General features: G+C 38.0%; 1 protein-coding gene across 2 annotated transcripts in view; it reads right to left on the reverse strand.

The window, feature by feature from the left end:
• Positions 1-14,831, reverse strand: part of RELN (reelin) — a 517,870-nt gene that overhangs the window by 105,068 nt on the left and 397,971 nt on the right. For both annotated transcript variants that reach the window (NM_173054.3, NM_005045.4), the window contains exon 28: positions 12,740-12,972. In NM_173054.3, the coding sequence (NP_774959.1) occupies positions 12,740-12,972 (233 nt within the window). The remainder of the gene's footprint in view (positions 1-12,739; positions 12,973-14,831) is intronic.

A 14,831-nucleotide genomic window follows, 5' to 3' on the forward strand; every position in this document is an offset into this window, starting at 1 on the left:
TAGTTTTGAGGTTGCCAAACTAAAATTTGTCCCAATTGCTTTCCAATTTTTAAAATACATCTTTTCTTTTCCAACATATGGAAACACGTGCACACACGCACACACACACACACATATGTACACACACTCCTATAATTTCATACCAGGGAACTATCTCTTCCTTCTCAGTTCCGCTATAATCAAAGGATGAAGATGTATTGGTGTATCCACATTCCAATTTATTTTGCTGCCAATATTTATAGACTTTTGAGTTAATCCAGCTTCTTAGTACACAAGGATAAAGAATCTTAAAGATTAATGAAGGTTGTTAAGGACAACTGTAGATAAAGACAGCTCCCTCTCCCCTCTATTATTGTGAGGATAACATGGCAAGATCAGAATGGATTTCTTTTTGGCTCTTCAAGTGGCTTTGGAAATTTGGCAGCAATGAACCATAACCTTGGCTTTTTTCCCCCCTTCATTATTTTAAGTTACCTACTCATGGCAACTTTATAAACTGTAGCCAGTAATGTTGTTTATTAGGTTTAAAAATGTTCAGAGATAATTGCCTATTAACGTAAGCCCCAAGCCCCCGTTTCAGTGTAAGAGGAAGGTGAACATACAAATGTATTTCCTTTGCAGCTAATTTGAAATATATTGATCTTATTCTTTTTAAGGTAAAAAGAATTGAATTAAAGAAGTTTAGAAAAACAAAGCAAAAGCAAAAAAAAAAAAAAAAAGTACAATTGTCTTAGTGTCACGGACCTTGGGAAAATTCCTTCCCTTGGAGCTGTAACATTATTCAGCCTCTGAAGGTATTTGTCCTCTTGAAGGAAGTAAATGGAATTAATGTACACCAGCATTTGTCAACTACTCTTAAGGAAAATGTTAAGGCCTCTATGCCGCTTCCAAAAGATAGACTGCATGTCTGTGATAAATGAGGAAAACATGCCAATTCCCTAATACAAGTCCTCTTGGATTAGAAGTCATGCTTGCTGCTTCTTTTTTATGTTTCTATGATAGAACCCAGAGAAACATGGATCCACAGCATCTGTGGTAAGGAAAGTGATGAAAGAGAAAGGAAAACTTCTTTCCCCAGCTTCAGGCTCTCTCACCTGGGCAAGATGAGGGCATCTCTCCATCAGCTGCCCCATTTCATGGAAGAAGCCAGCTCAGATTTGGGCCCAGAAGAATTCAGAGGGTTGAAGAATCCTAAGTTTAGGTAGAATTTTAGAAAAAGTTTTGGCAATTTGATAGTGAATGAAGGACAAGTGAAATCCTTTGACCTGTCTCTGATTCTTGGGCTCTTATAGTTTTTATAGTTTTTATTATTATAAGAGAATCAAGTTCTGATTTGGCCAGAGTGAGGAGGTATCCTTGTTTGCAGTTATAGATCCTAAGGCTTCTATAGACCCAAGAAGCAGAATGCACTGTTATATGTTTGAGACGGTAAAAGACCCCAGGAGCTCAGTACTAAGGAACGCTTATTTAGATTTAAAAAAGAAAAACACCAAAAGACTAATCATTTGGTTAATAGGGTAAGTCCAGAACATGGTGAATCATAGCTTAGAGTCCTAGATAGAAGACTGTATTTCAGAGTGAAAGGGCAAGAGATGGTTCCTTTTTCCCTTTCAATCTTTGCTAGTTTGTTTTTTGTTGAAAGGTGCAACTCAAGGCAATAAAGATTTCACTGGCCATGACCTCAGCACGTTTTGCTTCATTTCCATTTCTCCAAGTTATGCCTGGTTCCTGATGTCTGCTGCTACTCTGTTCTCTTCTCAGTGGCAAAATCTTGGGATTGAACACAATTGATTTAGCAACCTCAGGGTTTCTGGAATAGGAGGAAGAACTGATAAAGAATTCATTATAAAAACTAGTCACTAAGAGACCATGAGAAGAAGGAAGGAAATAAGCAGGCTAAAGTTAAGTTAATAAGTATGTCTCAATTCTATACTTTTAGAGTAGAGGAGATACAGCCTTGCAATTGTTACTACTAATGTATTTGTGCACATGTTCTAACCTTGCCTTTTCAAGGAGACACAGTAGAATGTGGAACAATGATTTCTTATTAAGTAGCACTGCATATATTCTGGAAAAATATGAAAAAGGAAGGTGTCTTCATTATAGCTAACACCTACTGCTGGTCTTTATTCCTTATTCAACATCCCTTCATTCAGTTAACATCTAGAAAGCATCTACAGCACGCTAGGCACAGTGCTAACGCTAGTAATACCATGAGGAGCAAAACCCAGACATGGTTCCTGCCTTCATGTAGCCCACAGTTGAGTGAGGAGACACACTTAATCAAACACCCACACAAATAAATGCACCCATGCAACTCCGACAACCATTAAGAAGGACATAGAGAAGAGCATCTGATAGAGGTCTTGACTTGGTAGGAAGGTATAGAAATAATTTAGAGGAAGTAATGATTGAGAGAAAGAGTTTAATCTTATGTAATTTTATTAGAAATAGATCATAGGCCAGGCGCAGTGGCTCACGCCTGTAATCCCAGTGCTTTGGGAGACCTAGGTGGGTGGATCACTTAGTGTTACGAGTTCGAGACTAGCCTGGCCAACATGGTGAAACCCCATCTCTACTAAAAATACAAAAATTAGCTGGGCAAATTGGCACATGCTTGTAATTCCAGCTACTCGGGAAGCTGAGGTGGGAGCATCACTTGAACCTGGGAGATGGAGGTTGCAGTGAGCTAAGATTGCGCCCCTGCACTCCGGTCTTGGTGACAAAGTAAGACTCCATCTCCAAAAAAAAAAAAAAAAAAGTACGTCACAGTGTGGTTTGATTATTCTATTCAAAAAGCATTCCCTTTTGTTGTTTTGCGTGTCCCAGATAAATAAAAAGAAGAAGATATCATTCTTTCCCTTTGTTTCCTTTCCCAATTTTCATTTTTGTCTGGGGGATGCCTAAGTGAATCGATTTCTGCACTGTACCCTTCCATCACCACACAATTCAATGTGATGTTGCATCTGCTTCTCAAACTAGGAAGGTTTCTGCTTGTCCCGTGCAGAGATGCAGAGTATTCTGAAGAATACTAAGCAACTTTTTTCTAGTCCTGCACAGAGACACCCACTTTTTTGCACTCTACATAGTGTACCTAGAGCAGGCTACATAGCATATTGCCTGGATGGGGATGTCTCTGAGAGTTGCGAGAGGTGTACCAACATATATTCACCATCACCAATGTGTTTTCTGTAGGCAAGAGCCCGGTGAATTAATATGAGCACAAATGGCTCCTTTGAGAAAATCAGCTTAGACCTATTTCTGAAACAGCAATTTTCTTGTAACTATTATAAGCATGTTTGCCTCATGGCAAAACAGCTCCAAATTTTAACAATTTTAACACTTAGAATTCTCAGTTTTCCAACACCGCATTTGGAGATATCTGAGTTTAACATATTGCAGAAGGAGCAACAACAGCTCATTTACTTGGGGTAAAGTAGAAACATATTTACTGTTCTTCAGTTGAGGGCTCTTCATCACAAATGCCATCAAGCAGCAAGCTGGATGGTATCCAAATTAACCATGAAGCTGGATTCTAATGATGAATATTTTGTCTTCCAAAAGCTGAGGTCTAAGAAAATATTGATACATTGGGAGCCTCAAAGTATTGGCTCACTTTGTGATGCTAAGGACAATCTGCTCTTACTTCCAACTGGGTTATACCACCCAACATCAAACACACTGCAATTTCAGATTCAGGTGTGTATATATTTAATTAATTATTTTTTTTATTTCAATAGTTTTTGGGGGTACAGGTGATTTTTAGTTACATGGTTAAGTTCTTTAGTGATTTCTGAAGTTTTATTATAGTGTACCCATCACCTGAGCAGTGATCATTGTACCCAATACGTAGCCATTTATCCCTCACCTTCCTCCCAAACTTCTCCCTCTGAGTCCCCAAAGTCCACTGTCTCATTCTTACGCCTTTCATCCTCCTTCAGCTATAAATTTATTATTGGGCTTCAGGGGAATCAAACAAGATTTGTATTCCTTGGCTCCTCATTGTATCGTTGTAGCAATGATGTGCCACTTGATGTTCTCCAACTTCATGGCACATTACACTGATCTATTTGGAAGAGCTGCATTTGGGCCACAGTTTTGGAAAGTATGGAGGGAGGAATGCAGTGGTGGAGGTGAAGAGTACAAGGGGTGCACAGCTGGAGATGGGCAGGAAGGAGAATGACATTGCTATATAGCTGCAAACACAGATATGTTCTTATGGAAAAAGAGAGATGTTCTCAGGGGGTGAAGTCTGGAGAGTACAATCAAGAACTGAGAAGACCAGTGGATGAAGGAACCACTATCAGGGAACAGACCTGTCTTAATCATTGGAATGTTCTTGTCCTGGACATCGTTCTCAGAGGAGGGAGCCCTAGTAACAAGTCTCTTGCTGCATTTGGAATTTCTGAGGGCCAGTGACTGCTATGTGCTTCCCATTCCTTCCTTTTTGTTTATTATTATTATTTTTGAGTGGGAGTATCTCTTGTGGTTATCCTGACATTTTCTCACCATTTTATGTTGGGTAAGGGTAAAGTAGATTACCTGTCTTTACAGGTCTAGAGATCAAGGACCCACATTCACATCTCAACCTGATGGAGATAATACAACCAGGGACTTGGTGTCTGGTGCTGTGATGGGATGAGAATTTGGGGAGTCTTGGGAGGACACTGAATGCATTTTTCAAGTGGAAGAGATGTGAATTACTGGGGCTAAAACAGACCATGGTAGACAGTTACAATAATGCCTCCCACTTAATCACACTTCCTTTTGTATATGCTCCTCTGTAGTGCAACTTTAATGCACTTCTTATTAAAAAAGGAAGTCTTTTTAGCCACCATTTAAATCTAGACTGACTTTGTGACTTGCTTTGACCAAAAGGATGTGGCAAATGAGATGAGGCTTTGCAGTTACTTTTCCTCTCTTGGAATGCTGGAGCCCGCCGAACTGAAAAATACTGAGATGAAGACTACATGGAGAGAAAGGTCCAGCTGACCCAGACTCTTACCAACTCATCAACTGAGTGCAACTAGATGATGGAGCCCAGGAAGACCAGCAGAAGAACTGCCCAGCCAACCCCACAAAACCATGAGAGATAATAAATCATTATTGTTTTGAGCTCTTAAATTTTGGAGAAGTGTGTTGCATAGCAAAAGGTAACTAAGCAAATATAATCCTAGGCTCTATTGAGGAATCTCAACAAAAAGTAAAGAGGATTTTTCTTTTAAAAAGTAATTTATCTGTTTATCCCTGACTCTGTTTTCCTCCCACTGGTTAAGAGATGGCAAAATCTGGAACAGATGCCCTGGATCCAGAGATGGAAGTCAGGTGTTCAGGATGGCAGAGCCAACTTGTCAACTATGAACTGCTCACTTTTGGACCAGTATATGAGAAAGAATGAACTTCTATATTGTTGAAAATTTGTTAAGCATTTGTGTTTGTGTGTTTCTCTGTCATAGTAGCTGGGTCTGTATCCTAACTAAAGCATATGGCAAGTCAAATTCTTAATTTCATTAAAGGTGGTAAATTCATCAACTCTGCCACCTACACAACAAATTTTGAAGGCATTTGCATATCATTTTGATAAACTACAAAGAACACTAGCATATAAGGACAAATAAATTACTTATGAGTTGGAGCCACTGATTGACAAACTTTCTTGAGATAGCTGGTGTTTAAAGATTATGTTTCAAAGTTTAACAGATCACAGAAACTGGTACATCCTTAACCAAAGAAATTCCTTCCCTATCCAGGAAGTTTGCCTACCAAAGGCTGTAGTGTAATTTTTTGAGGTATGCACATCTAAGTAACAAGGAGGCAGAGAGCACAACCAGCTTATCTTGCCAGATGATGCAAAGTAAACTGGTGATAAATTAGGTGAAAGATGCCACAAACAGAATGACCTCCAAGAACTTTATGAATAAGACACGTCTATAGATTGTTAAGCTTTTACCATAAAAGTCAGAATGAGATAGGTTATGTTGCGGCAACAAACAACTCTCAATCTCTATGGTTTAACCTAGAAAAAGTTTATTTCTTGCTTATTTTATATGTCCAGTGTAGGTTGGCAAGGGAGTCTGCTTATTGTAGACCCTCATTGAGATGTAAGATTCATCTCAATACAAGCTTCCACGGAGCCAGAAAGATGGCAAAGTGTACATGGGCTCTTAAAGCCATATGTCTCATTTTCATTCACATTTCATTTAGACATGCCAAACTTTACAGGCTGTGGGGGGAAAGTATAATCCTCCATTTTTCTAGGGAGAAAGAAAGCTGGAAATATTGTTGAATGGCAATAATGAGCATCCAAACCATATGCTATTCTCTCTGAGAATTACACCATTGGCTTCCCTGGTTCTGAGGCCTTTGGTCTTAGACTGAGCCATGCTACTGACATCTCAGGGTCTCCAACTTGCAGATGGTCTATCACGGAACTAGTTAGCCACCATAATCGTGTGAACCAATTTCCCCTAAAAAAATCCCCTCTCATGTATCTACATATATAGATATCCTATTGATGCTGTCTCTCTGGAGAACCCTAACTAATTCAGATTTGATATTGGGGAAGCCAAATATCACTCCTTCTTACTGTATTCCTTACAATACAATGAAAGAGATCTGCAAATTTGTTTCCTCACAAAAAGGCTGTGACAAGTTAAGTGTGTGAGGCGACTTAATAGTGAAAGATAAAAGTTTAGAAGATTCCAGTTCAAGATGGCTGACCAGAGATATCAGACACCCATCCTTTCCACAAGGAAGAACCAAAATTATGAGTAGATAACCATACCTTGAATAGAACATCTAGGAGAGAATACTAAAGACAAACAGAGAACTCACAGGAAACACCTGAGGCACAAAAGGAGAAGGAAACAAGTAGCCAGCATGGCTGAGATTGGCCAGGAACCTAGAAGGGCTTGGAACTATGGGGAAAGAGCGTCAGCAGTCCACCTCCCTGCCACAGACTGCTGCAATCCGAGCTGTGGGAGAGCGCCACTACCCACACAAACTCTGACACTAGCATGGGTGGTGATTTGGAGACCCCGTGAAGGCAATGCACCAGACAGGGAACTCACGCTAGGTCACTCATGCCCCACTCCTGAGACCTGAATAGCTGCAGCAGGAAGTCATGTGGGGACTGCCACTGCCATAGGACTGCATCTTGCCCTTGGTAACAGCCCCCATATCTCCACATCCTAGGAGTTCCTGCTGACATTCCCAATGCCCACTTGGAAGGCTGCAGTGGAGCAGCACTGGCTGCCCAAAGGTACTGCAAGGTCCCCCAGTTCTCTAGCCCACAGGGAGTATTGCTCCCCAGGGAAAGGACAGTGCAGTGCAACAAAAGGCACAGAATTTCACATATCAGTATTAGCCTTGAACGTAATGGGCTAAATCCTCAACTAGGAAGGTACAGACTGGCAGATTGGATAAGAAAACATAGATCCAATTATTTGTTGCCTACAATAGACCCACTTAATGGGTAAAGACACCTACAGACTCAACATAAAGGGGTGGAAAAAGATATACCACACAAATGGAAAACAAAAATGAGTAAGAGTAACTACACTCATGTAAGATAAAAGACTGTAATTCAACAAAAGTTTAAAAAGACTGAAAAGGGCATTATATAATGGTAAAGAGTTCAATTCAACAAGAAGAGACAACCATCCTAAACATATATGTACCCAACCATGGAACACCCACATTCATAAAATAAATACTGCTAGGCCTAAGAAAAAAGACAGACAGCAACATAATAATATCGGTAGCTTTAACACCCCAATGACATCACTAGATAGATCACTGAGGCAGAAAATGACCAAAGAACTTCTGGACTTAAATTGGACTCTATGCCAAATGGACATAACAGACATTTAAAGAACATTACACCCAACAACCACAGAATATACTGCTTCACTTCTGCACATGGAACATTCTCAAAAACAGTCCATATGCTAGGCCACAAAGCAAGTCTCAATAAATTTTTAAAAATCGAAATTATAGTAAGTATCTTCTTAGACCATGGCAGAATAGAATTAGATATCAATACCAAGAGGAACTCTCAAAACTATATAAATTACATGGAAACTAAACAACTTGCTCCTGACTGATCTTTGAGTAAGTGATGAAATTAAGGCAGAAATAAAAAAAAAATTTGAAACAAATGAAAATAGGGACACAACATACCAAAACCTCTGAGATACAGCAAAAGCAGTGCTAAAAGTTTATAGCTTTAAATGCCTATATAAAAAAGATAGAAAGATTGTAAATTAACAACTTAACATTGCACCTCAAGGAAGAAAAATAAAGACAAAACAAACCCAAAGCTAGTGGAAGAAAAGAAATAACAAAGATCAAAGCAGAACTAAATGAAATTGAAACCAAGAAAAAGAATACAAAGGATCAATGAGATGATAAGTTGCCTCTTTGAAAAGATAACAAAGTTGATAGACTGCTAGATTATGCAAGATGAAAAGAGAGAAGATTCAAATAAGCACAATCAGAAATAATAAAGGTGACATTACAACTGGTATCAGAGAAATAAAAAAGATCATTGGAGACTCCTATGAACATCTCTATGTATACAAACTAGAAAACCTAGAGAAAACGGATAAATTCCTGGAAACATACAACCTCCCAAGCATTAACTAGGAAGAAATAGAAATTGTGAACATGCCAATAATAAGTAATGATTTTAAAGCAGTAAGAAAAAGTCTTCCAACAACAAAAACAACAAAAACCCCAGTACAAGATGGATTCAGATAAATTTTACTAGATGTACAAAGCAGGGCTTTGTACCAATCTTACTAAAGAGATTCCAAAAATTGATGGGTAGGGATTCTTTCCTAACTCAATCTATAAAACCAGAATCACCCTGATACCAAAATTAGGCAAGGGCACAACCAAAAAAGAAAACAGGCTAGTATCCCTGATGAACATAGACACAAAAATCCTCAAGAAAATACCAGCAAACTGAAAACAACAGCACATCGAAAAGATATACATCATGATTGAATGAGTTTATTCCATGGATGTAAGGATAGTTCAACACACCTAAGTCAGTAAATGTCATTCACCACATAAACAGAACTAAAAACAAAAACATATGATCATTTCAATAAACGCAGAAAGAGCATTAGATAAAATCCAACATCCATTCATGATGTTGATACGATATAAACCCTCAACAATCTGGGCATCAAAGCAACACACCTCAAAATAATAAAAGCCAGGCCGGGCGTGATGGCTCATGCCTGTAATCCCAGACTTTGGGAGGCCGAGGAGGGTGGATCACAAGGTCAGGAGTTCAAGACCAACCTGAACAACATGGTGAAATCCCGTTTCTACTAAAAAATACAAAAATTAGCCGGGCATGGTGATGCTTGCCTGTAATCCCAGCTACCCAGGAGGCTGAGGCAGGAGAATTGCTTGAACCTGGGAGGCGGAGGTTGCAGTGAGCAGAGATCACGCCATTGCACTCCAGCCTGGGCGACAGAGTGAGACTCCATCTCAAAAAAATAAAAATAAAAATAAAAAATAAAAGCCATATATGACAAACCCACAGCCAACATTATACTGAATGAGTGGGGAAAAGGTAAAATCATTCCTTCCAAGAACTGGGACAATACAAGGATGCTCACCCTCTCTACTCCAGTTCAACATAGTACTAGAAGTCTTAGCTAAAGCAGTCAAGCAAGAGAAAGAAATAAAAAGCATCCAAATTGAGAAAAAGGAAATCAAATTATTTCTGTTCACTGATGACATGATCTTATACCTAGAAAACCCTAAAGACCCTTCCAAAAAACTCCTAGACTTGAAAAATGACTTCAGTAAAGTTTAAGGACACAAAATAAACGTACAAAAATCAGAGCATTTCTATACACCAGTAACATTGAAGCTGAGTACAAAATCAAGAATTCAATCCCATTGACAATCTCCAAAATAAAATAAGTACTAGGAATACATTTAACCAAGGAGATGGATCATCTCTACAAGGAAAACTAGAAAACACTGTAGATGGAAGAAACTGTAGATCACAAAAACAAATGGAAAAAATCCTATGCTCATGGATTGAAGAATCAATATTGTTAAAATTACCACAATGCCCAAAGCAATCTACAGATGCAATGTAATTCCTATCAAATTACCAATGTCATTTTTCACAGAATTGGAAAAAACAACCCTAAAATTCACATAGAATCAAAAAGGAGTCTGAAGAGCCAAAGCAATCCTAAACAAAAAGGATGCAAGAGGCATCACCTTACCTGACTTCAAATTATGCTACAAAGCAATAGTAAGCAAAACACCATGATACTGGTGTAAAAATACACACACAGACCAATGGAACAGAATAGATAATCCAGAAATAAAGCCCCAGATTTAAAGCCAACTAATCTTTGACAAAGCTGACAAGAACTTACACTGGGGAAAGGACACCCTCTGCAATAAATGGTGCTGGGAAAATTGAATAGCCACATGCAGAAGAATGAAACTGGACCCATATCTCTCACCATATACAAAAATCAACTCAAAATGGATTGGACTTAAACATGAGGCCCCAAACTACAAAAATTCTAGAAGAAAACCTATGGAAAACTCTCCTGGATATTGGTCTAAAAAGAATTTATGACTAAGACCTCAAAAGCACAGCCAACAAAAACAAAAACAGACAAGTGAGACTCTGTTAAACTAAAAAGCTTCTGCACAATAAAATAAATAACCTACAGAGTAAAGAGACAACCTATGGGATCGGAAAAATATTTGCAACTTTTCATCCAACAAGGGACCAATATAATAGGAATAGAGTATACAAAGAACTCAAACAACAGCAACAGAAATAAATAAATAAAATTAAAAGGTGGGCAAAGGCCATGAATAGACATTTCTCAAAAGAAGACATACAAATGTGAAAAGGTATATGAAAAAATGTCAACATCACTAATCATCAGAGAAATGCAAATCAAAACCACAATAAAATATTGTCTTACCCCAGTCACAGTGGTTATTATTCAAAAGACAAAAAACAAACAAACAAACAGATGTTGGTGAGGATATGAAGAAAAGGGAACTCTTATATACTGTTGGTGGGAATGTAAACTAGTACAGCCACTGTGGAAAACAGTATGGAGATTTCTCAAAACACTAAAAATAAAATTACCATATGATCCAGTAATCCTACTACTGGGTGTCTACCCAAAGAAAAAGAAACCAATATATCAAAGGGATACCTGCACTTTCGTGTTTATTGCAGAACTGTTCACAATAGCTAAGATATGCAATCAACCTAAATGTTAATCAACAGATACATGGATATACACAATGAAATACTATTTGGCCATAGAGAAGAATGAAATCATGTCATTTGCAGCAACATGGATGGAACCAGAGGCCATTATTTCATGTGAAATAAGCCAGGGTCAAAAAGACAAATATTGCATATTCTCAGTTATATGTGGGAGATCTAAAATATTCGATCACATGTTTTTCATACATGGAGATAGAGACTGGAAAGACAGATAACAGAGACTAGGAAGGCTACCAAGGGAGGGAGGGAGGAGGATGAAAAGAAGTGGGTTAAAGCGTACAAACATACAGTAAGATAGAAGGAATAAATTCAATGCTTGATAGCAGAGAAGGGTGACTATACTTAACAAAAGTATACTGTACTCAAGTGATGGACACCCTAAATATCCTGACACAATCAGTATGCATTATGTACATGTAACAATATTTCACATGTACTCTGACAAATAAGACATACAAAAGTGTAAAAGCTAGTTATTATTGGTGCTATGAAAGCAGAAAATTGCTTAATTGCAATGGCTGAGCAATAACCAGATTTTCAGACAGCATATCCCTACAAACATTGTAGACCACAACCAGTCTCCAAATATAAGCATAGTGAGTGTTTTGAAGATCATAGAAATGAAAACAATATAAGAAATCTCCAAAAATACAAGAAATCTCCCCCACCAAATTATCCCGTCACAGGACTTCTGCACTTCCCACACTGTGCCTATTTGCTATGCTATCTATTTGATGTGCTATATCTTCACATCATTTCCAATATGGGATGTGTAAATTATGTAAGGACTTTTAGAGTTATAATTTGTTTCATGCATTTTTTTTGCAAATTTGACTCCACAAAAGTGCAATGTTGATGTTGTGTGTATGTGGGTGTACCTAAAAATATTGAAAAACTTTCTCAGTAAAGGGAGAGACATCTTTTTCATACATCTGCTTTTGTGAAAGATAAAATTTCTTCAGGTCTCAGCTTTTTGGTGACTGCATATGCAGTGGTGACCCACTGAGGTTTTTGATCAACCTCATCAGAAGAGTTAAATTGTCTGTCAGTATTTCAGATGGCCACATTTATAAAGCTGAGTGCAAACAATTACCCACCATGGTGATACACATTTATACATTTTGCTTTTTGACCTATTTCTTTATGTATACATTTTGTCTGCTCATAAATGTTAAGCCATTGCAACAGTCTTTAGTATATCTGAATGTTTATGCTTGCAAAAATAAGTATTGTGTAAAGTGGCCTATGAAGTGTTCTGTCATGTTTTTATGTTTCTCAGATAAATCCCCTTTTAAGATATAAATAAATGTTTTAAAAATTATTTTTCCCAGAATTGTATTTTCGGGGTTTTGATCTTTCAGGATTACAACATTTAGGGTTATAGCATTTGGGACTGTGTCTTTCTTAATGGCCCAAACCCATTAAGAATGATTACTTTACCTGGATGCAAGAGACCTTGGAATAACAATGGTGATTCTTGTCCATTCTTCAAAGTCCCCTGTGTGATACATGGTGGGCTCACTTAGTTCTCTGGAGTTTCCTTCGCATCCTTTGCCTGCAGAAGCCGGGTAACAGCCTTCTTTCACCAGAAACCAGGACATACCAGCATCATGAGAGTACTGAAGAAGAACTGGAGCAGTACTGCTGAATTGATTGGCACAACCTATGTTTAGCTGTTAAAAGGAAGGACAAGAATTATACAAGATTTTGGTTCTAAGTCATCACTCAACAAATTAGATGCTACAGCATCCAGGGTGCCTTCCAATGGGTCTGCACTGAATTTACAATGATAGGAATTGTGAGCTCAGTCCCAACCAAGACCCTTCAATAGATTCTGGAATTCTTTGTTTAAGCAAACAATAGGTACTTTTTACTAGAAAACTGGACTCATTTTGTGGATTTCTTGGGATTATAGGAGAGAAGAGAGAAGCACAGTGTATGTGGTTCTTGAGTCTCAGACAAAAGATATGCCAAGAAGCTGCTTTTTTCTCCCTCCTCAGAGGGTACAGACAGAGGAAACCATAAGATGGAGAAGCAGCTGTCTTCTTCAGTACAGGAAGGTTTCAGTGGAACAAGCATCCTCCTTCTGTTTCCTTGCCAAAGCTCATTAAAGATCAGTGTCAACCGGCTGGGTGCGGTGGCTCATGCCTGTAATCCCAGCACTTTGGGAGGCTGAGGCGGGTGGATCATGAGGTCAGGAGTTCAAGACTAGCATGGCCAAGATGGTAAAACCCTGTCTCTACTAAAAATACAAAAATTAGCCAGCGTGGTGGCGGGCACCTGTAATCCCAGCTACTCGGGAGGCTGAGGCAGAGAATTGCTTGAACCTGGGAGGCGGAGGTTGCAGTGAGCTGAGATCACGCCATTGCACTCCAGCCTGGGTGACAGAGCCAGACTCCATCTCAACAATAAATAAATAAATAAATAAATAAATAAATAAATAAATATAAAATAAAATCAGTGTCAACTTAGATGAAACAGCTGAGTGTTTATCACAGCATCAAATAAGCAACATGATCCAGAAATGAAACTGTTACTGTTTGGTGTACTTGTATGGAGGACTCATCATAGGATTAACAACATTTAAAAAATGGTAAAAATACAACTTAAATCCCACTGGCCTATCATAACTGTCCTTTCTTTTCTATTTTCTCTTCTGATCTTTATAGGGAAGCTATATTTTGGTCCTACAGTTGAAGTTATTACACATCTAGAGCTTTCCTCCACATTCTGTTATACATAGCGTTGCAGAGAATATACCTTTCTTCTTTGATTTGTCATCACCAGATAAATTCCTGAGAGTAGCATTAAGGAGTCAAAATGTAGAAACACTTAAAATTTTCTAGTTATCTGTGCTCATTTTGTATTGGCTGAGTCCAAATGAATCAGTTTAGGCATTGGGTATTATAGTTTAAGACAGTTTATTTCCAAATAAATGTGTAAATGAATTTTATTACACTTTTCATAATTATAAATGTCAAACTCTTTTTCTCATGTTCATTTAATTACCTGCCATCTTATATGAATGGCTTATTTACATCTTATTTCATTTGTTGGCGGGAGCCACAAATTTTGTTGTAAAAGACTTTACTAAATAAGAATAGTCTGATTTTTAGAAGGAAAATTGAAATCAGGAATGAAAAGAACATGATACGACAAAAAAATAAAGGGAGAGACATGGACTAATAATATTGAGCCATAGCTCAGGAGGTCAATCAGTTAATCCTCATGACTGTAAGGCAGCTTTATCTAGTTTTTAAAAAGAAGATTTAGTATCTTCTTTATTTCCATACTCACAGCTAGAAAGCATCTCTCAGAGAATTTATAATTTGGTTAGTAGAAATTTTATTGTGCACAATTTATCCAAGTTTATATAGTAAAACATCAAGAATATAATTAAAAACTTAACCCTCTCAGATGCATGATTAAACTCTTCTAACACAAATTCCTTTTACTGCATTATTCAATAGTAACAGTGGCCTTTGGTTGGTGTGTGGTGAGAGCAGCCACATTGGGCACACCTAGTTAACTT

The sequence above is a fragment of the Homo sapiens genome, chromosome 7 (assembly GCF_000001405.40).
Source record: "Homo sapiens chromosome 7, GRCh38.p14 Primary Assembly".
Lineage (NCBI taxonomy): Eukaryota > Metazoa > Chordata > Mammalia > Primates > Hominidae > Homo > Homo sapiens.